Source organism: Homo sapiens, chromosome 17 (assembly GCF_000001405.40).
Source record: "Homo sapiens chromosome 17, GRCh38.p14 Primary Assembly".
Lineage (NCBI taxonomy): Eukaryota > Metazoa > Chordata > Mammalia > Primates > Hominidae > Homo > Homo sapiens.
This window is the reverse complement of record NC_000017.11, coordinates 60,887,978-60,915,374: the sequence shown is the minus strand read 5'-3', so window position 1 is coordinate 60,915,374 and position 27,397 is coordinate 60,887,978. Positions and strand designations below refer to the sequence as shown.

General features: G+C 36.5%; 1 protein-coding gene and 1 pseudogene across 8 annotated transcripts in view; both read right to left on the bottom strand.

Annotated features, from left to right (window-relative positions):
- Window positions 1-27,397, bottom strand: part of BCAS3 (BCAS3 microtubule associated cell migration factor) — a 714,981-nt gene that overhangs the window by 477,457 nt on the left and 210,127 nt on the right. For all 8 annotated transcript variants that reach the window (NM_001353144.2, NM_001353145.2, NM_001330413.2 and 5 more), the window contains exons 10-12: window positions 25,604-25,680; window positions 12,672-12,755; window positions 4,673-4,843 (exon numbers count right to left, since the gene is read on the bottom strand). In NM_001353144.2, the coding sequence (NP_001340073.1) occupies window positions 4,673-4,843; window positions 12,672-12,755; window positions 25,604-25,680 (332 nt within the window). The remainder of the gene's footprint in view (window positions 1-4,672; window positions 4,844-12,671; window positions 12,756-25,603; window positions 25,681-27,397) is intronic.
- On the bottom strand, window positions 15,190-15,484 carry RN7SL448P (RNA, 7SL, cytoplasmic 448, pseudogene; annotated as a pseudogene).

Genomic DNA, 27,397 nt, shown 5'->3' with positions numbered 1-27,397 from the left:
ATGCCCACATAAACACACCAATGAATGCAGGTTAAACAAATAGAGAAAACTGATTAAGACCTGTAGCCTAGTTAACAGAGTGTATCATTGTCCATTTTCTGAGGTTTTTTTTGTTAACCCACATCACTCAGAAAATTTTCTTGTTTTGGTACTATACTATAGCTACAAAATACATCATCATTCAGGTTAAGCTGGAGGAAGTAAGATGAAAGGCATGTGCAACTCACTGTGAGTCTATAATTACTTCAAAATTAATAAAAATATAGAATATATTGCAAGCTTTTGAGCGGCTCAGTTTCTGATAAGTAAAACATGGTATCTCAGTTTTAATTTGCAGCTTTCTCATTAATAACAAGTGAAGTTATGGGTATATTTTATATCATTTACATGTATAGTTGACCTCTGAACAACTCATGTTTACAAGTGCTGACCCCCTGCACAGCTGAAAATCTGCATATGACTTTCCCTCCTCCAATACTTAACTACTAATAGCCTACTATTGACTGGAAGCCTAACTGATGACAAAAATTGTCAATTAACACATATTTCGTATGTTATGTATTACAGATTATATTCTTATAATAAAGTAAGAGAAAATATATTTACTGTTCATTAAGTGGAAGTGAATCAATTATAAAGGTCTTCAGTTTCATTGTCTTCACTACAGGTAGGCTAAGGAGGAGGAGGACAGGGAGGAAGAAAAGGGGTTGGTCTTGCTGTCTAAGGGCTGGTAGTGACAGAGAAAATCCACATATAAGTAGACCTGTGCAGTTCAAACCCATGTTGTTCAATGGTCAACCATATTTTATTTTCTCTGTGAAATATTTATTTCTATCTTTTGCCCATTTTTCTACTTTAAACTTTATCTACAAGATTCCCTTTCCTTTCATATATTATAACCCTACACCCTGTATGTTTCCTTCCAATACAACTGGCATTGAGTATTCAATTTGATGGCAATAATAAAGACAGAAGCCATCCAGCAAAAAGGCACATTAATCTTACCACTACGTAAGATTCTTTGAATGTTCTCTTTATGGACTTCACAAATATAAACAACCAGATACTTTTGGAAGAATCTTCTCCATTGCATCATCACCTAGCCTAAAACATTAAACCATTAATGTCAGAGATATTCCAGTATAATTTTCCTAAGACATGTAATCTTCACTCACCACTTATCACAGTAGGATGAACTCTTAAGTCTGTATTAACAACCTGACTACATTAAACAAAGCAGAGCCCATGAATTGATACAAGGTGGATAAGCCTTCATCACATGAACAAAACACCTCAGAAGCTATTAAATTATTATGAATAACACTTGTTCTCCAGGCAAGAAATAGCTCAGATTTATGTCATCATTCTGAAGCATTTTATTTCCATTAGAGATTTTGCCACATTGCTAACTTCAATTATATAAACGTGTAAAAAGCAAATTATACCACTTAACTTATTCTGGTCCAGAAATGCTTTTAAATAAAACATGAAAGTAACACAGATAAAAATGGATGCAAAGTCAATCAAATCCATTTCTTCTTAATACAGTTAACACACAATGATCCCATCACCATAAAATCAAACTAATCAATATGGCATCAGAAGGATGGTGAATCCGATTTTATATACTACAATTGTTAACACAAAAAAAATCATTATCAAAGGCTCAAGGGATTTAAACAGCAAAAGTCAATGTATTATCAGCTTTTCGTATACAATCTGAGTTGTATTTGGAAAAGGAAAAACATTACAGTTTAGGCTAAACATCAGCGGAAGGGGCTAAAAGCGATAAATCTAAGACATTAACCACTGCAGTTTTAATACAATCCAGCATAATCTAAAAACAGCCTGTACTCCAACTGAACTACTTATCAGAGACAAAAACATTTTATTGACAAAAAACAGATTCATGTTAATTAAAAGACAGAATTATACTGCACAGATCTTGTTGCTTTACAAATTATATATATTTTTTAAAATGTACACACTAACTCACCTTTTATTGAAAATCAATTTCTTTCCTGTCCTCTAACAGAATTTTTTAATCAAGTTAAAATTTCAGAATATGTCATAAGTGGAAGATTGGGGCTACTAACCAGTAACAGAAAAGGTAGAATGTTCCATGTTGAACAACATTTAAGATTCTTAACTTTTAAAAGTTAACATTTCTATGATTCTTCTTAATAAACATATTTGTTTCAAGTGTTATCAATGCATTTATCACAGACAAATGAACTTTTGCAACTCTCCAATCTATAGTCCATTTCCATACTCCAAAATTAAGACTTCCTTTTTCAAGGTCATAAAAAGTTAATGAACTTAAAGAAAAAAATTAAACCACATTTTAAAACATAAGGCCTAAATGTCATGTTTTAATATAATTATATGTCCCCATACTTCCATTTAACAAAATAAATACGTGAATTACACTTCTATTTCATCAAAATTACTGAGATAACATTTTCTATTTTGAAATAATCCCAAATCTCTCCATCAACAAATGCTAGATCTTTAACAGATGTATGGTCCTAGACAATGTTGAGGAGAGTTGTTACTACCCAATAAATGTGGGTGGCCTTGTAGGTGAATTAATTAAAAATCAAAAAATCAAAGAACAAAAGGAATATTTTACTCTAACACTCACAACACTAAAAGTTTATACATTTCATTTCAATTAAAAAAGAGAACATTTGTGTTTATCCACATCAACTAATTAACACAAAGTCATTAAAGTCAACTGAAAAGTCTTCTAGCACTTCATTAAAAAAATACGAATCTGTAACACATTTGGCTAACCACAAAGTTAAGACAGGAGAGGCAGAGAATTATTACTCAGATTTCAAGTAAAATACAAGAGCCAAATTTAATAATCCAGAATTTCAAAGTTTTTTTGTTGTAATTGCAGAAAAACTTTCTTGAAACGCTGTTAATCTTACTATAGGAACTAGCATATAAGTAGCTGCCAAATGTAATTTTTCATCACAACACCAACCCATATATACTGGAAACAGATTTTCTCAAAACATATGCAATATTTAAGGCTAATACCTTAACAGCTCACATAGTTTCTAAGCATAGTGCTCTGAATATGGAATTAAATATATATTCTATATAAAAACTAAAAGAAATTTTATTTCACCAATACTGCCCTACTCCTATCTCATTCTAGGAATTGATTCTAGATTGTATTTTTATATCAATGATCACACACTATCAGAATAAAAAAATTACCTTCCTTTAAGAAACGTATATTTAAAATGAAGACTATGACACAAAAGAAAATAGAGTTTATGAGTGCATGGGGGAAAAACAGCCCAAATGATACCTTACCAGCAAGATTTATAAGCAAATGTAACATGTATTTCTGTACTTATAATCACTCATTGTAAATGTTTCTGAAGCTAGATTTTTAAAATTACAGAACACTGTATCTGAAGATACAAGATTTTATAATAAGCTACTGCCATGTATGTATTCTTATATGCTACTTTAAGATTTCACATATTTTTATATTGATAAGAAAACATCTGTTATAAATTTTGATACTACTCAGTAAATTGTGTAAGTTGCAACTATTAATTAATTTGTTTATAAATTCCTCCAAATAGGTATGGTCCTGCCTTTAAAACAAAATTTACGTGGCTGGGCGCAGTGGCTCATGCCTGTAATCCTAGCATTTTGGGAGGCCGAGACGGGCATATCACCTGAGGCCAGGGGTTCAAGACCAGCCAGGCCAACACGGCGAAACCGCGTCTCTACCAAAAATACAAAAATTAAGGCTGGGCGCGGTGGCTCATGCCTGTAATCCCAGCACTTTGGGAGGCCAAGGCGGACAGATCACTTGAGGTCAGGAGTCCGAGACCAGCCTGGCCAACACGGAGAAACTCAACTCTACTAAAAAATACAAAAGTCAGCTGGGCATGGAGGCACGCACCTACATCCCAGCTACCTGGAAGGCTGAGGCAGGAGAATTGCTTGAACCCAGGAGGTGGAGGTTTCAGTGAGCCAAGATCGTGCCACTGCACTCTAGCTTGGGCGACAGAGCAAGACTCTGTCTCAATAAATAAATAATAAAAATACAAAAATTAGCTGGGTGTGGTGGCACATGCCTATAATCCCAGCTACTCGGGAGGCTGAGGCAGGAGAATCCGCTGAATCCAGGAGGCAGAGATTGCAGTGAGCTGAGATCACTCCACTGCACTCCAACCTGGGCAACAGAGTGATGCTCCATCTCAAAAAAAAAAAAAAAAAGAAAGAAAAAAAGAAAAAAATTTATTAATCTTACAATTTAGGTTATGACAAATGTCATTACACACAAAAAAGAAACAATAACTGAGTCTCTAGGGTAGCAAGTTAAGAAAAAAAAGAATATTATGAACAGAACAGTATTAAATGTTATATAATTATTTATTTATGAAACAAATGTCCTCACAGATAAGAGAATCTCTTAGAACCTCGACTTTACCTTCAGGTTTGATGCATTAATAATGTTCAAAACAGCAGGTTCTAACATGTTACTAATCATTTTTAAAGAAAAACCTCATTTGAAATAATCTGAATTCCTAAAATTCCAAATTGATAATCTCCTAGGCCAAATACATTTTGACTAATCTTGATCTTAGCCCCATCTTTGCAAGTAACACACATGGTACGCACCAAAAGTTCTTCTTACCTGGCCCTCTCCAACGGTTTCGGTGTCAATAACTGTGATGATGCCTGGGACCAAAGGACTCCGCCGTGAATTACTGTGGATGGCAACATCATCTTCTGTCACACCTGAAGGCAGTGTGCCTGTCAGCTGAGTCACCACTTTCCCTACCATTGTCAGGCCACTTTTCAATGTCTGTACAATGAAAGGTAAAATGTATGACTTCACATCAGTATTTGGATTCTACATAGAAATACGCATTTTATTAATTTTCCTAATCATTATGTTATTTATTCTCTTACAATCTTTTATAGCAGTAAACTGTCACAGACATTCAGTCTGACTTTTAATGATCTTGAATTTTAATTAGAATATCAGTATTAGTTTGAGGGAATGGCATCAGTAAAGTCTCTAAAGTCACCATGGCAGGCATAAAGCCATAGTTAAAAAAATTAAAGAGCTCTGTTTTACATAAGGGTACAATTATATTTTTATAGAAGATATTTCTTTCATTCCCTCCTCTTAATGTATACATCTTAAAATCAATGACATAGGAAGAAGTAGAAACTATGAAATGGTCAATTCTTTGAAATATTATAACTCTAATTGTATACCTATTTCTAGTATGAAAAAGACTGAGACACTGGTAGAATACCTATGTGGAAAAGAATGTGCTTCCAAAGCAAATCTATGAATATGCTGTTATATAATACTGTATACCAAGATTTGGCATATGGAAAACACAATCTCTGTCCAAGATATTAATCACTGGATGAATGAAGTATCATACTAAATTAGTTAAGAGAGTTATTTTCTATCTGGTAACAGAAAACAATTAAATGTGGTGCTCCTACTATATTATTTCAATTAAAGATAACTTAAGATGTTTATAATTACATTTTAGCTCCATTTCATTCAAAACATATAAGTAAAACTAACTCGTGAAATATTTTTTCTTCTATGTGAATATCCTCTGATTATCTTCATATGCATTAATAGAAACATTTTTCTAAATAACAAGTTTTTTCATCTGAAAGGAAGAAAGCTTCAAGTTTCTGAGTCTACAGAAAAAGAAATGAAAGGAAGAAAGCTAAAATAAAGACAAATACTTGTGAGTCACACATTGCTGAAGAAGGGTATCATCATTAGAACAAAAACAGGCACCCTAGAATACTTAGACACATCAAAAATTACATTTTAAATAATATAGGTACATTTTTCCAATTCTCATGTTGTAAGAAAAAAAGTTTCATTAAAATATTTCAAATTAATCTTCAATGAGGTGACTATCTTTTCTAAAACAATTATGAAAAAAAAATCCTTACCTAATTCTGGCACATGCTATGGCTAAATTTGAAAATATAAACTATTATATACATGGTATTTCAAATTTTAATTCATAAATAGTACACAAAGACAGTTGTGTATAGAGGTCTAAATGTGATGTAAGCAATAATTAGATTAAAACTGAAAATGGGAGAAGTATTTTCCAAAGAAGTGTTCTATTAAAATACCATAAAACTAGCACTAATAATAGATGCATTATTTTATGGTAGCTATGTTTCCACGGTGGCTTTTCTATGGACTAGGGACTGGTAAAGGCACTTAACATAAACTATGTTGATAGATTTCCTCAGATACTTCAATTTTATGAAAGAGAAAATCGAGGCTAGGGAAGTTAAGTAAAATGGAAGCTCAAACAGTTACCCAATGACAAAGTCAGAATTCAAAACTGGGACCATCTGTCTCCAGGGCCTGATTTTTACACTATCCTGTACTGCCTTGTAATCTATTTCTGTTACTACTTGTGATCTCACAGTTAATGAATACAAAACACAGATGTCTGAAAGGTGGAAAACAGGAAAAATTAAAATCCATAATAATATACTAATAAATACTTAAATAAAAATGACCAGCAAAGCCATATGCTGAATTCAAATAAAAAGATATAATTTAACAGCAGACTAAAACCAAGAGAAAGCCACAAATCAATTGTAACTGTTTTGTTTAGTGCTAAAAACTCAAACTCCCGCGATTATAAAACACATCAACGTTCCTCAATTAGCAGCCAAACATTTCTTTCAATAATTCACAAGAAATGACTTACACAAAGTCTGTTGGAGTGTTGTCAAGTAAGCCTCTGAAGGACCAACAGATTCAGGCGCCACAGTGTATTGATGTCAAGAGCAGGCCAGGAAGCCTGATTAACCTCTGAGATGCCTTAACTGATGTACTCACTCCATTAATGCTAATGGAGATGCTCCCACTTAAACACAGCTATCCCTTTATCAAAGGAATGCCTTTTAGTTTTAAAGTCTTTGGTTGTATATCCTCCCCATTTGCCCCTGAGCCTATTATTTCATGCTCTTATACCAATGAAAAGGAATAAAACTAAAAGAACTGGAGCACATAAAAAGTGGAAAGTAATGTGTACCAAAGCAAACCACAACAGTAAAAGTTAACATAAGAGAACCAGGAAAAAGATCCACAGAGAGAAGACAGCAGTAGATTTCATAGTCAACAGCTCATATTACATGAAGAGTGTTTGATATTTCCTAGGGAAAAAAAAAACATGACTATTGATGGAGTTGTCTTAGTAGTGGACAAAAATCTAAACTCAAAATTTAAGTCATCAAATATGCAATTTGTATAGCAAGTTACAAGATACTACTATTTATCATAACCCATTAACTATGCAGGGAGTCAGGGGTGTTAGAGAAAAGTGCTGGAAGTTTTCTGCATTTGTAAAGACCCTTGCTTTTAGGGTAAATTTGTTTCCATGTTAGCATCAAGCACATCTATGAGCACTAGTGTCCAGAAGTTAACTGATAATGTTATTTAACGGAAATCTAAATCACCTCACAGTAATTTGTCTCTCCAATTAATTTTAGTAGACAGAGTATGTATATATCTGACTATTTTCTCAAATATATATGAAAAATTATAAAGCCTCAGCAAAAATTAGGAATAGAGAAGTATAACCTGGCCAAAAGGAGATGAAAAATTAGACTAAGTGTCCTCACAATCTGAGGTATCTACATAAAAATGTTCATTAAATCACTGATGAATCTTCACACAAGTACTCACAGAACTAAACTGTAGCTGTAAGACAGCTGAACATGACAGACTATAACGAAAGTGTGAGAAAATCCGTTATGACCTATAATTCAAATGAGCATGGTACTTATTCTGTTCTGCTGCAAGCAGATTTGCCGAAGGGTCACTAGTCATCTTTAACCTTTCCCATGCCATATCAGTTGGCCTCCCTATCCATTAGTGCTAATGGTGCTGCTCTCACAAAAGCTGTTAGTTGTCATTAGGAAGTTATCAGATAACAAGAGAAAACAGGGGCATTTTTATTAAATCAATTGACCACACTGGTAACACACATGAAAATAAGACGGTAATGAGGGAACTAGAAAATATGGACCAAGATTTTATAAATGTGTCAAATAATCTCATTTGAACAATTTCAATATTTTTTATCACTACCATAAAAAATTCATGACTCTCATATTCTTTATGAGAAAAGTCAAATTACTTGGAAAATCAAAGGAAAAAACATTAATAGCATAAATATTATGCAAGTTGTATTTGGAAATGCAGAAAATGTAAAAAAGATTATTTCCTCTAAGGAGCTCCAAGTACATATGCAATGAATATATTTATCCTCACAATTGCAGTGAGACAAAAAATTTAAGACAAAAAAATTAATAATTCATCCTTCTATATAACAAAGTGGTTAATAACCTCTATTAAGCCACAAGGGAAGCTGTCATCGGAAAGAGTAAAAGAGTAATGATTACACTTTCAGAGAAAGTGACTTAATAAAGTAACTGTAAAATTACTTAAGTATTTTTCTTAAGGAGCACATACTACATGGCTTTTTAACGTGCTCTCCATGTTGTATCTCAAAAAATATATCACCTAGAAATGGTTAAAAAATAAATAAGAAAATATGTTTTCTATTTTCAATAATGACAGGTTGGGGAAATCAGATCAATCTGATTTCCACTAATGAGAACAACTAGGAAAATCGAAGAGAATATTTTTGTAAAATGCTGCTTGAAGGTACTGAGTTACAAAGTCAGAATCCGAAAGAATAAGGAAATCCAGACATTTCAGCTAGGCATTTAGGCCTAGAGGTATCTGGTGATTCTAGGAAGCAGGAGGTAGGGTGCTAAGAAACTAAGTGGTGTTTTTGATAGATGGAACTAGAAAATCATCTATGAGAGTCAAAGCCCTGCCAAATGGGTCTACTTGGTGACATTCCCTCCAAGCTTGGGTTTGAACATAAAGAAATATACAATAGAAGAGTCCACCTACAGCAATAAGGTGACCACAGCTATTGCAGGTGAACTTCACTCAAATAATCTCAATCCCTGAAATTGGATTATTATTCAAGACTGATACTGTCCCAGAACTCCACTGTCATCCCAAACTCAAAACTATTTTCTAAAAAGTTTTGAAATAAATTCTGGCAAACAAGTGATAACAGGAGTTAAAAAGAAATTATTTAGGCAGTTAGTGAGAGTAAGAGAGTCCTCAGCAAGGTTTTCCTTTAAATAAAAATCAGCCCCCAAATAATTTCTTTTCTAACAAAAAGCAGCCTGAAAGATCAAGCTGCAAGCATAGATAAGCAAGCTGGAAGCTTGCATAGGTGAATGCCAGCAGCTGTGCCAATAGAAAAGGGATATCTGGAAGTCAGGTATATTCAACCGAGAGGTTCCCTCTTACCTTTTCTTTGTAACCACATGTGCAGGCAACATGGCACCAGCCAGGTAGAGACTCCATTTGCATAATAAAAGATTATGGTGGGATAGCCAGCCTCTACACATGCTATGCAAATGACACACCTGGTCCAACCAACCCACTACACCCTATGTAAATCAAACATGACCTCCTCAAGCTCATCTATAAAACCAATCACATCTCGCCCCAATCCTGAAACCCGCTCAGGCCCCCTCTCTCTGCAGGAGGAAGCTCTCTTCTTTCTTCATCTATGAAACTTCCACTCTTAAACCCATTCCTTGTGTGTCCGCGTCTTCAATTTCCTTGGCATGAGACAACAAACTTCGGGTATTACCCCAGACAAATGACACCGCTTCACAAGGACTCAAGTCATAATAAATGAGAACGAGCAGAAACAACACACAAGAGAAATGGACCCAAAAGGGAACCAGACATTAGAGTTATCAGAAACAGACTTCAGTATGACCAGGTTTACTGTGTTTAAACAAGTTTGATAATTTGAGAAAAATTTAAAAACCAAGAGAACCAGAAACTATCTGTATTTATTAAGATTTTATCAATGAATATATTTTCAATTTTATCAAATACTTTTTGTTCATCTATTGTGATAAGCATATAATTTTCTCCTGTTAAATGTGCAAATTATGCTCATTGATCTTGAGTGATAAACCAGCTTATATTGTGGATTATCTCAAATGGATTGTGACACAATATATAGCGTCCTATATACTGAAGAATTGTGTCCTATATATTCTTATCCCAAGTGGATTGTGACACAGCATATATTGTGTCCTATATATTATACTATAATTATGTCCATATATTCTTATTCCAAATGGACTGTGACACAATATATATGGTATCCTATATAATGCTGTTTTTCTGCAAATATTTTATTTAGGATTTTTCACATCTATGTTCATTGATTTGGACTGTAGTGTTCTTGTATTATAATGCTCTTCTAAAGTTTTAGTATTAAGGTGATCTGGCTTCATCAAACCAGATTAGGCATAATCTGACTTTGCTTATTCACTGGAAGAGTCTTTGTAATATTGCCATTGTTTATTCTTAAATATTAAAAAGAATTCTCTAGAGAAGTTTTCTAGGTCTGGAGACATCTTTGTGAGTTTTTTAAAAATAACCCTTATATTCTCCCAAAAAGAAAAGTAAACAGATTGCAGTGACGCAATCATGGCTCACTGTAGCCTCGGCCTCCAATGCTCAAGCAATCTTCCCACCTTAGCCTCTGGAGTAGCTGGGACAACAGGCATGTACCATCACACTCAGATAATTTTTAAATTTTTTTGTAGAGACAGGGTCTCACTATATTGCCTCAGCTGGTCTCAAATTCCTGAGCTCATGTGATCCTCCCACCTCAGCCTCCCAGAATGCTGGTATTACAGGCACGAGGCACAGCATCCAGCCCTAAAGTGTTATATTAAACATAATTTCATAGTCTTAAATGTGGAAGACATGAGTATATGCCTCACAGTTCCCAATATTGAGGTATGAGAAAATGGGGAGTTTGCATTTTTTTTGTTGTTTTGTTTGTTTGTTTGTTTGTTTGTTTTGAGACAGAGTCTCGCTGTGTCGCCCAGGCTGGAGTACAGTGGCGTGATCTCAGCTCACTGAAACCTCCGCCTCCTGGGTTCAAGCAATTCTCCTGCCTCAGCCTCCTGAGTAGCTGGGACTACAGGCACCCGCCACCATGCCCAGCTAATATTTGTATTTTTAGTAGAGACGGGGTTTCACTATGTTGGCCAGGCTGATCTTGAACTCCTGACCTCATGATCCGCCCACCTCAGCCTCCCAAAGTGCTGGGATTACAGGCATGAGCCACAGCGCCCAGCCCTGCACTTATTTTTAAAACATCTTAAGTCCAGCCTCACTCCAGCATGTCCACAGCAAAACATGGAATGAAGATCACTTTCTTTTTATATAAGCACATAAACACATAAGAATAGCAAACAGGAGCTGAAAAGTTATCCTCCATTCCATAACTAAAAATTACTGAAAATGATCATAAGCTAAACTATCGTGACCCATGTGTATGAGATAGACAAGTCTAAAAGGAGTCTAATACTTGAGAAAAAGATCTCGTTGTATTTTGTGGATAAATGAGTAGACTAATACTGAAGATGTTTTCTAAATACTCTCTCTCAGCTCTTCATTGAAATAACCATCATAATTTTTCTATACACAATGGAGAAAAGTAAGCAATCTTTATTAAGATTTCTGCAATTGCTGGGTGCGGTGATGCACACCTGTAACCCCAGCACTTTGGGAGGCTGAGGTGGGTGGATTGCTTAAGCTCAGAAGTTCAAGACCAGCCTGCGTAACATGGCAAAACCCTGTCTCTACAAACCAGGCGTGGCGGCATGCGCCCGTAGTCCCAGCTACTTGGAAGGCTGAGGTGGGTGTTCACTCCTGCCTGAGCAACAGAGCGAGACCCTGTCTTAAGAAAAGAAAAAAGATTTCTGAAATCTAAAAACTCATAGTGCTATAGGCATAAAGACCTAATGGTTAATTCCCTTTTGGGTGAAAAATATGTAATGCTTCTCTCATCAAACCAAGGAACACATTCTGAAGCGCATCATGTAAGCGTCTGTGATCAAATATGAAGTATTTTTGTATTTGTTTTACATAAAACAGTGTGACCTTTGATTCCCACTCTGTGGTTTGCTTTAAACTGTTGTTCTTTTCTGAATGGTTGTGCTTTCTATTATATGTTGTCTTTTAGATTCACTCTGTCATTCCTATTATTAGAATTGTTTTGTTGTATACTTCACAATTCTAAAGGATAGTGGTTACAAGAATACCTTATAATCAGCATAAAGTTTACCAGACATCATCAAAATTAACCCTCACACACATGAAAAAAAGAGCTCACTTGACAAACATGAAGGGGCAGCCCCTTGATATAAAAGAATCTTTGAATGTGACGAGGGACTGACTCAAGTTTTCATAGGGAATAATATTCTTTTCATGAGAAGAAGACTCTGAAATGTTCAAAGATGCAAAGGGATGTCAGTGTAGGCAGAACGATGCAAATCACAGAGAATCCAGAAGTCACTGTTTAAAACATGGAAAGCTTCTTCCAAATGTGGTATTAATTAGGTAACAGTCTTGAAGCTAGTTAACAGACTTAAAATCTTTAAAATTGGATAAGTACAAGCACTACAATCATTACAATAGAAAATATAATTCAGGAGAGAAATCTGAACAATTACTACACATAACCACAACTCTCCAAGATTTCGGAGGTACTCACTTTAGCAGCACTAATGACTGTGGCAGTATAAGACTGAATGTTGTCTCCACAGGCTCCACCACGGGACTGATGACATCGAATCAACTGAGAAAAAGAGAGAGAGAGAAGCAGAACGTCATTTCTATTAATCTGTTTAACTCTACAGGCTATCAGGATAGAGCTTATTTTCCGTGAACAGTGATGGTGATGGGTGGGAATGTTTGCATGAGTGTATTTCAGACAAACAGCTAAAAGCTTTGCCGAGACACTTCTACCCCTTTTTATAATCTACTGGTGCCACTCAGGCAGTTTCATGCTCAACTACGGTTTTCATTACAAGAAGAATGGTCTTTAAGAATCCATAAACTCTGAAATGGTAGGATTGGGGTCTGGTGGCCTTTCCACAAATAAATTTTAAAAACGTAATCAAAGGACTTACACATGACTTCCTAACTTAAATATCTGACATGCTAACAAATTAGATGTTTTATCCTGTTAACTCCTCCACAAAGATTATAAAAGAAAACATAAAAAGTAGACAAAAGATTTTGCCATATTTATATTTTCAATTGTGTCAGTGGAAAAGCATTACAAATTACGCATAAATCAACTATGACAAGTATATTAGCTGTCCACTTCAGAGAGCTTAAACTTTTACCATTAGGAATGAAAAAGACATATCCTTATTTGTGACTGACATAAATAAAGCAAACTGCCAATTTTCAAAATGAATCACTACTTTGATATGCATGATTATTTCACATGCTACGCAATAAACCAGGATTAAATTCTCCACTGGTCCTCTACTTCCTATATTTAGCAAAAAATGTCATTAGCCAGATTTGTATGTTTAACATTTTTAAAAAACAAAATGACAAGGGTAGAGTATTAGAACTGCACCACATTATGAGTTTTTTAGAACCTCTGGAATTCACGAAGAATCTATATCTCACAAAAAGTAAAAATTAAAAATGCTTTACATTGTTTAAAACCAGGTCCTCTGATGAAGACTGATATGTAATCCTTTTATTCTTAATTCAAAATTTTCTTCATCACTGACATTGTTATTTTAAACATCCCTGAAAGCAATAGTAATATATTATAATAGAATGGAACACCCTTAAAAGTATGATATGCAAAGTCAAGATTTTTTTAAGCAATCTCTGTTACATCACACTGAATGACTGCTTAAATAGATTTGAAAGAGAGAAGTGAGGAATTTTCCAAATGTCAGGTGATCATCAAATGTGGTTTCACATAGAGTACAATAAAGAATTTGAAAAGTGATCATTTTAGCAAATAAAAAGAATCTCTCTCTTGCTCACTCATTCATCCACAAATACACATTCAAATAATTATGAAAATTATTCCTCTGCTGCCTCCTGCTGCATAAGCAAGAAAAGAAAGGCTATTACTTATTCCCTGCTTCTGGTAATTAAAATACTCAAGGACAAATATGTAAAAAACAACAACAACAACAACAACACTCTTACCTTTCTTTTTTTTTTTTTTAAGAGACAGAGTCTCACTCCGTCACCCAGGCTGGAGTGCAGTGGTATGATTTCAGCTCACTGAAACCTCTGCCTCTTGGGTTCAGGTAATTCTCCCGCCTCGGCCTCCCAAGTAGCTGGGATTACAGGCACATGCCACCACGCCTGGATTTTTTTTGTTTATTTTTAGTAGAGACGAGGTTTCCCCATGTTGGCCAGGCTGGTCTCAAACTCCTGGCCTCAAGTGATGCACCAGTCTTAGCCTCCCAAAGTGCCAGGATTACAGGAGTGAGCCACCACGCCCAGCCCTATTCTTACCTTTCAAATTCAACTACAACTGAGTCAGCAGTTCTACACAAAAGTAACTAAGTCAGAAATTTTGGTCTAAATTTAGAATCATCAGAAAATTACATTTGTATCTTGGTTCAACAAAATCAAAGATGAGTCAGAATTTTGCACTATAGAAATAGTGCAAAATTCTATCAAATGAACTAATTTCCAGGAAATATTGTTAAGCAAAAGAAAAAAAAAAGCAGTTTGCCAAAGAGCATATATACGTTATCATTTGTGAATGAAAGGGATATAGACTTTGGTCAAACACCATTTCATGCTCACCTCTTCCACTTAGAAGAACCAAAATAGTGCATAGAGAATCACACTTCAAATACACTGTCCAAGGTAAAACACTGGAATTCAACAGAGAACTAACAGGAAACACCAAAAGTGGGTAGGAGAAGGAAGACAAGTAGCCTGCTTGGCTAGGATAGGCTGGGAGCTGGGAGTGGCTTCCCAACACAAGGCAAGGGTAAGTAAGAGAATTCCAGCGGCCCACATCCCCAACCATGGAACCATGCAATCTTAGCCAGGAAAGAGACCCTCTACCCTCCCAGGCCCTGAAACTTAACATAGGGAGCTGCCAGGAGACTCTCCAACAGAACTGCTCCAGGGAGGGAGCTTGTACTGGGTCCTATACACTTTCTGATACCTAAGTGGCTATAGCAAGACAATATTTTCTTTTTCTTTTCTTTCTTTCTTTTTTTTTTTTTTTAAGAGACAGCGTCTCACTATGTTGCACAGGCTGGAGTGCAATATTCATAGGTGCAATCCCACTACTGATCAGCATGGGAATTTTGACCTGCTCTATTTCCAACCTGGGCTGGTTCACCCCTCCTTAGGCAACCTGGTGGTCCCCTACTCCTATGAGGTCACCATATTGATGCTGAACTTAGTGCAGACACCTGATTGGCATAGTGCACTACAGCCCAGAGCTCCTGAACTCAAGCAATCTTCCTACCTCTGCCTCCCAAGTAGCTGGAACTACAGGCACAAGCCACCATGCCCAGCAAGACATCATTTTCAAACCTGGTTTTTGGCAGATGGCATGCTGCTCTGGGGCCTAGCAGCACTGGGACTGAGGTGTTAAAAAAAAAAAAATCAGGGGCCTGGAGTGGTGGCTCACACCTGTAACCTCAGCATTTTGGGAGGCTGAGGTGGGCAGATCACAAGGTCAGGAGTTAGAGACCAGCTTGGTCAACATGGTGAAACCCTGTCTCTATGAAAAATACAAAAATTAGCCAGGCATGGTGGTGCATGCCTATAATCCTAGCTACTCAGGAGGCTGAGGCAGGAGAACTGCTTGAACCCAGGAAGTGGAGGTTTCAGTGAGCCAAGATTGCGCCACTGCACTCCAGCCTGGGCAACAGAGCGAGACTCCATCTCAGGAAAAAAAAAATCTCAGGCTGTCACTGCTGGGACTAGGGTGTGATCTGGGCTCATTCCCGCACTAGGGGCTGAGAATCGAGTAAAGCATTGGCTGTAGCAGCTACCAATGCAGGGAAGCAAGTGCTGCCAGGCCAGAGACTGAGACATGAGCAGGCATGAGTTGCCACTAAGACTTGGTTGCGAGCTGGGCAGAGGCTCCTGCAGCCAGGGATGGGGGTGAGACAGGTATATGCCATTGCCACCGGGACTGGGGGGTGAGCCCCACTGGGACTGGGGTGTGAAAGAGACACATTTTCCCCACCTACCAGCCTAGCTGTGGCCACTGAGGCCAGACCTACCCTCTCCATAAGCAGCCTCAGGGCCCCTCACCCAAAAACTGATCCTAGGATTACCCTGTCCCCACCCACCATGGCTGGTATCTGCTCTCATCATTGGGGAGCCTGAGAACAAGCCCACCCAGCCTAGTTCTGCCTTCAACCCCCAAAGACAGAACTCATAACCCAGGGTCCTTGGGACTGCCCAAACCAATCCACTTCTTTGGGTACATAAGCACTCCTCCAGGGGGTCTGAGGTTGGGCCTTATCTCCCTGCCACTGCCTCAAAAGCTGGCACCTACCTGCAAGCTCCAACCACAGGCCTGGAGACTACCTCCCGAACCCCCAGACCACTGCAGCCACCACCAACATCAACACACGCCACTAGGAACAAAAATAATTATCTTGCCACTGCTACCGTTATCACCCATGTTACACTGGCTGCCCAGGGGCTCAGGAACCAGCCCACCCATACTGTTCACCATTGCCACTACCAGCATCCAAGCAAGCTACCTGGAAGACCAACAATCAGCCCACTTGTAACCACCAATATAGGTGCCAGTGTACACTACTCTGGGGCACAAGGATAGGCACACTCAGCCCAATGCTGCCACCACTGCATACTGATGACCAGTCAACCTGGCATCCCAGTCTCCAGCAAAACTTCACCACAGCCACCACTAATAATCACACCCTAATTCATTAAGTAAATAATAAATACCCCTAATGATGTATACAGAAAAAAAAAATCAGACTACATTACCGCACACACCCAGAATCAAGACCAAAGTGTCCTATCCAACCAGTACTATAGATATATCTTCATTAATAAAAAAAGTCCTCTACGAAAGTAAATGTAAAAATATGAAGAAGTAACTGTTGCACCTGATGTGCAAATATCAATGTAAAGACACAGGAAACATGAAAAATAAAATATGATGCCTCCAAAGAAACACAATAACTCTCCAGCCAGATTCTAATCAAAAAGAAATTTATGAGAGCCCATTTATAGGACTCAAAATAATAATTTAAAACAACCTTGTGAGATTCAAGAGAACTGTGAAAAACAATACAGAAAAATCAGAAAAACAATTCAGAATATAAATGAGAAATTTACCAAAGAGACAGATAATTTTTAAAAGGGTCAAAGAGAAATTCTGGCCAGGTACAGTGGCTCATGCCTGTAATCCCAACACTTAGGGAGGTCAAGGCAGGAAGATTGCTTGAGCCCAGAAGTTCAAGACCAGTTTGGGCAACATGGCAGGACCCTATCTCTACCAAAAAAAAAAATAAAAATAAAATAAAAATTAAAAAAATTAGCCTGGTGTGGTGGCACACATCTGTAGACCCAGCTACTCAGGAAGCTTAGGCAAGAGGATCACCTGAGCCCTGGAGGTCTAGGCTGCAGTGAGCTGTGATTGCACCAGTGAACTTCAGCCTGGATGACAGAGTAAGATCAGTGAGATCCTGTCTCTAAATAAATAAATAAATAAGTAAAATAAAACTGACTACATCAGGCAAAAGGGAGAATCTCAGAACTTGAAGACAGATCTTTTGAAACAATCCAGTCAGATAAAAATAAAGAAAAAAGAATTTTAAAAATAAGCGAAGACATTATGACATCTGGGGAAACATAAAGTGTCAAAATATTACAATTATAAGTATTCCTGACATTGAAGAGAGAAAGAAAAAATTTGAAAGCACATTTAATGGAATAATAGATGAAAACTTCCCAAGTCTAACAAAAGTTTGGACATTCAGATACAACAGGCTTAGCAATCCCCAGGCAGATACAATGGAAAAAGGTCTTCTCTAAGGCACATTATAGTCATTGTCTAAAATCAAAGATAAAGAGTGAATCCTAAAAGCAGCAAGAAAAAATCGTGTCTAGTCACATATAAAGGAAACCTCATCACATTAACTGTAGATTTCTTAGCAGAAACCTCACAAGCCAGAAGACAATGGAATTATAGATTCAAAGGGTTGAAAGAAAAAAGTATGTCAGTCAAGAATACTGTATCCAGCAAAATTACCCTTCATAAATGAAGGAGAAATGACATTTTTTCCAACAAGCAAATTCTGAGAAAATTCATTATCACTATATTGACCCTACAAGACATGCTCAAAGTAGCCCTAAACCTGGAAGTGAAAGGACAACATTTAGTATCACAAAAACACACCAAACTATGAAACTCACTGGTAAAGCAAAGACACAAAGGAGAAAGAGAAAGAACTCAAAGAGTACCACTGCAGAAATCCACCAAACCATAACATCAAACAATAAGAGAAAAAGAATGAAACCAAAAATATACGAAATAACCAGAAAACAATCAACAATATAAGAACAAAGTCTCACATATTAATAATGACTTTGAATGTAAATAAAATAAATAATCCACTTAAAAGAGACAGAATAACTAAATGGATTTTTTTAAATGACCCAACTATATGCTCCTTACAAGAAACTTACCTTACCATAAAGACATATGTAGACTAAAAGTAAAGGGGAAAAAAAAAGAGATATTCCACACAAATGGAAACCAAAAGTGAACAGGGGTAGTTATACTTATATTAGATAAAACAGACTCTAAAGTCAAAAACAGCTGGAAAAAAAAAAGACAAAGAAGGTCATTATATAATGATAAAGGGATCAATTCAGCAAGAGGATATAACAGTTCTAAATATATATGCACTCAACACTGGAGCACACAGATTCCTAAAGCAAATATTAGTATATACTATATCTAAAGAGAGAGATAAACTGAAATACAGTAATAGTGGGGGACTTCAAAACTCCTCTCAGCATTAAACAGATCATCTAGCCAGAAAATCAACAAAGAAACATTGGATTTAAACTGGACTTTATTTATTTATTTATTGAGACTGAGTCTTGCTTTGTCACCTAGGCTGGAGTGCAGTGATCTCAGCTCACCACAACCTCCACCTCCTGGGTCCAAATGGTTCTCTTGCCTTAGCCTCCCAAGTGGCTGGGATTACAGGCACACGCCACCATGCCTGGCTATTTTTGTATTTTTAGTAGAGACAGCATTTTGCCATGTTGGCCAGGCTGGTCTTGAACTCCTGACCTCAAGTCATTGGCCCGCCTTGGCCTCCCAAAGTGCTGGGATTACAGGCATGTGCAACCGTGCCTGGCCTTAAACTGGACTTTAGACCCAATGGACCTAATAGACTCTTATAGAGCATTCTATCCAACAACTGCAGAATATACATTCTTAGCCCATAGAACATTCTCCATGATAGACCATATGTTAGGCCACAAGTCTCAATACACTTTTAAAGACTGAATCATATCAAGTATCTTCTCAGACCACAATGGACTAAAACTAGAAATAAATACCAAAAGGGACTCTGGAAACTTTACATATGGAAATCAAATAACATGCCCCTGAACACTACTGAGTCAATTCTTTAAAATCTTGAAACAAATGATGATCTTGAAACACAACATACCAAAACTGTGGAATACAGCAAAAGGTGTGCTGACGGAAGTTTACAACAATAAACGCCTACATCAAAAAAGTACAAAGATTACAAATTAACAATCTAACAATGCACCCAAAGGAGCTAAAAAAGAATAAACCAAACCCATAATTAGCAGAAGAAATGAAATAATAAACAGAGTAGAACTAAGCAAAATAGACTAATGAAACAATACAAAAGATCAATGAATAAAAAATTGGTTCTTCAAAAAGATAAACAAAATTGATAAACACTAGCTAGATTAACCAAGAAAGGAAAGACCCAGATAAACAAAATGAGAAATGAAAAAGAGAACATTACAACTGATACCACAGAAATACAATAGATCAGCAAACTATTATAAAAAGCTATACACTGAAAATCTGAAAAACCTAGAGGAAATTGATAAATTCCTGGAAACATACAACCTAACGTAACAAGATTGAATCAGGAAAAAACAGAAATCTGAGCAGACCAATAATGAGTAGTGAGAGTGAGTAGGTAATAAAGTCTCCCAGAAAGCAAGCCCAGGACTAGACAGGTTCACAGCTGAATCCTACCAAATGTACAAAAGAGATCACCAATTTTCCTGAAACTATTCCAAAAAAATAAAAGAGGAAGAAACTCTCCCTAACTCATTCTATGAAGCCAACATCATCTGATACCAAAACCAGACAAGGATGCCACAAAAAAGAAAACTATAGGCCAAGATCCCTGATGAACACAGACACCAAAATCTTCAAGAAAATGCTAGAAAATCAAAACCAACAGCACATCAAAAATATAATAGACCACAATCAAGGGGGATTTATTCCAGAGACATAGGGATGGTTCAACATATCTAAATCAATAAGTGATAATCACATCAACAGAATGAAGGACAAAAACCATATGATCATCTCAATAGATACAAGAAAAAGCATTTAATAAAATTCAACATCCCTTCATGATAAAAACTCTTAACAAACTAGGCATAGAAGGAAATTATCTCAAAATAATAAAGACCATATATGACAAAACCACAGCTAACATCAGGCTGAATGGGGAAAATTTAAAAGCCTTTCCTCTAAGATTTACTACAAGACAAGGATGCCAACTTCACCACTCGTATTCGACACAGTACTGAAGTCCCAGCCAAAGCAACAAGGCAATAGAAAGAAAGAAAAGGCATCCAAATTGGAAAAGTAGAAGTCACATTGCCCCTCTTTGCTGATGACATGATCTTGTATCTAGAAAAACCTAATGATTTCACACACACGCACAAAATCTTAGATTTGGTAAACGGATTCAGTAAAGTTGCAGGATATAAAATTAACATACAAAATTCAATAGCATTTCTATACACCAATAATGATCTAGCAAAGAGGCAATCACATTTACAATAGTTACGAAAATATATATATAAGAAGAAATTTAACCAAGGAGATGAAAGATCTCTACAAGAAAAAACTACAAAACACTGATGAAAGAAATTGTAAACACCAACAAATGGAAAAACATCCCAAGCTCATGAACTGAAAGAATCAATATGATTTAAATGACCATACTGGCCAGAGAAATCTATAGATTCAGCACAATTCTTATCAAATTATTAATGTTTTTTCCACAGAATTGGAAAAAGCTATCCTAAAGTTCATAGGGAAGCAAAAAATAAAATAAAATAAAATAAAATGGGGTGGGGCAGCAAATGGCCAAAGCGGTCCTAAGCAAAAATAACAAATCAGGAAGCATCACACTGCCTGATTTCAAACTATACTACAAGGCTGCAGTAACTAAAACAGCATGGTACTGGTACAAAAGTAGACACATAGGCTGGGCATGGTGGCTCATGCCTGCAATCCCAGCACTTTGGGAGGCCAAGGTGGGTGGATCATTTGAGGTCAGGAGTTCAAGACCAGCCTGGCCAACATGATAAAACTCCATTTCTACTAAAAATACAAAAATTAGCCAGGTGTGGTAGCATGTGCCTATAGTCCCGGCTACTCAGGAGTCTGAGGTGAAAGAATCACTTGAACCCAGGAGGCGGAGGTTGCAACAAGCAGAGATTACGCCACTGCACTCCACCCTTGGCAACAGAGCTACACTCTGTCGTGCAAAAAAAAAAAAAAAAAAAAAAAAGATCATAGGTCAAGATAACTGAACAGAGAACTGAATAACATCAGATACTTATAACCAACTGATATTTTGTTAACAAAGTTGACAAAAATACACAATGGAGAAGGGACACCCTATTCAATAAACGGAGCTGGGAAAATTGGCTAGTCATATGCAGAAGAATGAAACCAGACCCCTATCTCTCACCATATACAAAAATTAACTCAGATGGAATAAAGACCTAAATGTAAGACCTGAAACTATAGAAATCCTAGAAGAAAACCTAGGGAAAAACTCTTCTAGACATTGTCCTAGGCAAGGAATTTATGACAAAGACCCCAAAAACAAATGCAACAAAAATAGACAAATGACACTTAATTAAACTAAAAAGTTCCTGCACAGCAAAAGAAATAATCGATAGAGTAAACAGATAAACTACACAATGGGAGAAAATATTTGTAAATTATGCATCCAACTAAGAATCTACAAGAAACTCAAACAACTGAACAAGAAAAAAACAAACTCCAATAAAAACCCCAAAGGACATAAACAGACATTTCTCAAAAAGAATGTAAATGGCCAACAAACAAATGAAAAAAAAATGTTCAACATCACTAATATTCAGAGAAATGCAACTTAAAACCACACCAAGATACCATCTTATGCCAGTGAAAACGACTTTTTATTTTTATTTTTATTTTTGAGACAGAGTTTCATTCTTGTTGGCCAGGCTAGAGTGCGATGGCATGATCTCGGCTCACCGCAACCTCCACCTCCCGGGTTCAAGTGATTCTCCTGCCTCAGCCTCCCGAGTAGCTGGGACTACAGGCGCCCACCACCACACCCAGCTAATTTTTTGTATTTTTAGTAGAGACAGGGTTTCACTATGTTGGCCAGGCTGGTCTCGAACTCCTGGCCTCACGTGATCCACCCACCTCGGCCTCTCAAAGTGCTGGGATTATAGGCATGAGCCACCATGCCGGGCCGAAAACGGCTATTCTTAAAAAGCCAAAAACGGCCGGACGCTGGGGCTCATGCCTATAATCCCAGCACTCTGGGAGGCCGAGGCGGGCAGATGACCTGAAATTGGGAGTTCAAGACCAGCCTGATCAACATGGAGAAACCCCATCTCTACTAAAAATACAAAATTAGCCAGGCATGGTGGCGCATGTCTGTACTCCCAGCTACTTGGGAGGCTGAGACAGAATCACTTGAATCCAGGAGGCAGAGGTTGCGGTGAGCCGAGATCATGCCATTGCACTCTAGCCTGGGCAACAAAAGCAAAACTCTGTCTCAAAAAAAAAAAAAAAAATAAGTCAAAAACAACAGATGTTGACAGGAATATGGAGAAAAGGGGATGCTTATACACTGTTGGTGGGAATGTAAATGGAAAAGAGTATGGAGATTTCTCAAAGAACTAAAAATAGAACTACCATTCGACCCAGCAATCCCACCACTGGGTATATATCCAAAGGAAAAGAAATCATTAATTTAAAAAGGACAGGCACTTGTATTTTCATCGCAGTACTAGTCACAATAGCAAAGTCATGGAACCAAACTAGGTGTCTATCAGCAGCTGATTATTTGAATAAAGAAAATATGGTTATACACACCATGGAATACTTTGCAACCACAGAAAGAATGAAATCATGTCCTTTGCAGCAACATGCTTGGAGCTGGAGGCCATTACCTTAAGTGAACTAACTCAGAAACAGAAAATCAAAAATAGCATGTTCTCACTTATAAATGGGAGCTAAACAATGGGTACACATGATGATGAAAATGGAAATAGGCAGTGGGGACTCCAAAAGGGGGAGGGAAGAGGCAGCTGAGGGTTGAAAAATCACTTATGGGGTACAATGTTCAATATCTGGATGATGGATACACTAGAAGCTGAATCCCCACCCTTACACAATATACCTGTGTAACAAACATGCACGTGTACCCTGTGAATCTCAAAACTAAACAAAGATATACGGCTTCTTAAGATTTTATAGTCAAAGAGCATTTTCACTGAAAGAGACTGGTACCCCAAAATTTAATTCAATTTTACAATTCTATACTCAGCCCCAAAGCTAAAACAATTAGAAACTAATAAATGCTAGCTCTTATGAAAATACTATGTAAGGACATTTATCTAGAAATATTTTGAGATGAAAGCACGACATTTGACTCACAAACTCCTTGTGAAGGCCACTACGTTGTCTGGTCTCTGTACATGACACCAGATATTAACATGTATTCCTGAAGAGGGAAAACAACTGGTGCATATTCAGGCTATGCATCTATGAAGGGAGTTCTTTCCCCTCAAAGGCAATATGTAACTACTTACATATTACCTCCACTTCCAAATGGGCAGTTCCCCATATGTGAGAATACATCCACAAGAACCAAGGGACAATTTATACATCTTTGTCTTGAATGTTTCCAGCACTCAAGGGAAATGCTTTACAGATAGAAACATTAGAAGATACCATTGTGTCACTACACTTACTTGTATGCCTTGTTTTGTTTGAAAAGAATAATTTGAAAGAGCTATTTTTACAAGATATACTGGAAAATCAAGAGAAAAAACAAAATGGAATATAAATACAGAATTCAGGAAGATGTAACATATCTAGTAGTTAGACAGATTTATGGATAAGATCTCAAAGAATTTATGCAGAAAAATAATTTTCTTCAGTAGTTTCTTGATTTTTGTACATTCCAGAGGCTAGAAATTTAGTAGATTTGGCTTTACCAAATAACTACTTTACTTACCACATCCTAATTTTGTCAAGAACTATTTCATATTAATTCATATTAATCTCAAGATACAATAACTATGCAACTAGCAAAAACGAAACCAAAAATAGTAATATTCTTTTAGAAGATTTCATTCTATATTCACATGCAGGGTACTAAATGGAATTAAAAGAATTTTATCTTTCTTTTTGAAGATTCAAATTTACCTTTTTCCTTAAATCAGACATAAGTAAAATTCCTAGTGCATATAGTATCTTCACTTATTATGATGACCTTAATAAATAAATTGATAAATAACCGAAGAAGTCAACAAAATGTGAACATGTGTGATTTAACTATTAAAACAAATGGCTGAACCCTTATTTAGATATAGTTGTTAGCATATAGTTAATGTAAATTAAATTATTCTTTTTTTTTTTCCTTTTTTGAGACAGGGTCTCACTCTGTTGCCCAGACGGAGTGCAGTGGTGCGATCTCAGCTCACCACAACCTCCACTTCCCAGGCTCAAGCAATTCTCCTGCCTCAGCCTCCTGAGTAGCTGGGATTACAGGCGCATGCCACCACGCCCGGCTAATTTTTGTATTTTTAGTAGAGACGGGGTTTCACCATGTTGGCCAGGCTGGTCTCGAACTCCTGACCTCAAATGATCCACCTGCCTCAGCCTCCCAAAGTGCTGGGATTACAGGCGTGAGCCATCACGCCTAGCCTTGTCAATTAAATTATTCTATGCCCAGGTTTCTAATCTACCAATGAAGACAGAAGTTACTCCTGCCTCCTGATTTCTAAAAAGTCAAAAACTACTTTCCTTAATACCACTACTGTGGTCATCTCAATGCTGCAAATTAATAGAATGAAGTTCTCTATATAAAACCAAGCTAAAACAATTAAGGTTCTACAGAGTCTGGACTTAATGACAACTGCCAAACATTTATAAATTCTTAAACGAGTTCAATTATTAGTTGCACAATTAAAACCAAACCAAAGCAAATGAACTAGTAAGTAAAACATTTATTATTGGTAATCAACTATGGAGCACAGGTATTTTTTATGGAAAATCCTTCAACACTTGCTCCATTACAAATAATCCAAACACAGGCCACGTCTTACCTTGTTTTCTGCATAAGCAAGCCAGCGGCTCCCAAGAGCAATAGGATTCATGTTTGGCCCTGGACATGGATAGCAGCCTGAAAAATTTCAAATGGCACTATTGAGAAATTTCTTAATAACTTTTCTGTTGGTGCATCATATATCGATGCCAGAAAAACAGAAAAATCAAATGCTTATATTTTTTCAAGTCTCACATAAAATTCCTGTAACACTAGTCATTATTTTGTTAGCTAAGTAAGGTGCATTTTTCCCCCTCTATTTAGTTTCCTTTTGGCTTAACTCTGTCCCAATAAGAAACAAATCTGGAAAGAACTGGTCATCACTTTCAGCAAACACTGGGCATTTTATACAGTTATTCCTAAACATGAGAATGAAGTTAACAGGGCCATTTTAAGTCTAACATTCATAAATCAAGGAAGAATTTTGGGAGAGGAGAGAGAAATGATATGATGGGTTCAGGAATTTAAAGGCAAAAGATAAATGAGACTATCAGACATGATACTACAATGAGGAGAGAAAAAGAACAAGTATTTGACCTCACTGAGGCCAATGAAGACAAGTAACTCTGAAAGTCTGCCTCCACAGAAAGATGTTAGGGAACTGCATAATCCTTTGTATTTACATTTCACTCAATATCATTCTTCTTGCTTGCAGTTCTAGCCAATAACAACAGTTAATTGTTCTATGACATATATTTACTGTTTATTTTCTATCTTCCTCCAACTTGATTACAGGGATGTGTAAATTGAAGAATCGGTTTTCTTCGCCGCTGACTCTTCCCTGCTGCCACTCCCTAGTCATTCTGACTATGTTCCTATTGCTATGCTCAAAAGCACTAAAGAAGCACACCTTACTGTCACTTCCAGTACACAGCCATTTTTAGCCTAGCTCCCTAAACTGCCATCTATTTTGAATTTTCGTCTTGAAAAGAAAATAATAAACTTATAGAGAAGAGACAGACCCTAAAAGAAAGTCCACATAAACAAAATAAAAGCTTTCTCATTTTATTGCTCCCTTTTTAAAAAACTGTTCATTCATGCTACTGTTTGAAGGAGTATGTTTGCAATACTTAGGGTTTCCGGAAAACTGACTTCAGGTTAACTGTAATATTACTATTATCTATTAAATGCATATTATGGAAACATATATAGGACAAAAACACACTAAAAATTATAAAAAGACAACATACTGTAATATAAATTGTGTAGTATTTACACAATAGATTAGACCATTGAATAGATTAATCTTATTCATTAAAAATATAATTTTATATGAGTATGTATACATGTATTCCGCTGACAATTTCAGAGCTGGAGAAATGAGGATAAATATGATCTATAAGAAAGTTTTTCCCCTTTTAAAATTCGTCATGAAAAATAGAACCAAGTACTTGTGAACAGTGGTGTTACATTAGACACAGAGAATCTCCTGAATTAGCTTTAAAACTAAATAATCTAACTCTCAATAAATTCTGATAACCACTTTAACCTCACAAATACAAAAGGGTCCTAAGGAAAAACACAGTTTACAATTCTTCATTTCATTTTTTGAGTCCGTATTTTTAGAGTTCAGTGGACCTCAAGAATTACAGTATATTGTAATGAAAACAACTGTTTTCCTGCTTGCCAAAAGAATGCTTTATAGCTGGAATCAGCAGAACATAAGCCACTCAGCACCATCCCAACCTTATAAGCATGACTCTTTTAAAGATTAATCTTTGCCTCCAGGTAAAGTCTGAAAACAAGTGAAGGGGTTGGGGGGACATGAATCTCTATAATACTAGGCCTAATTCTA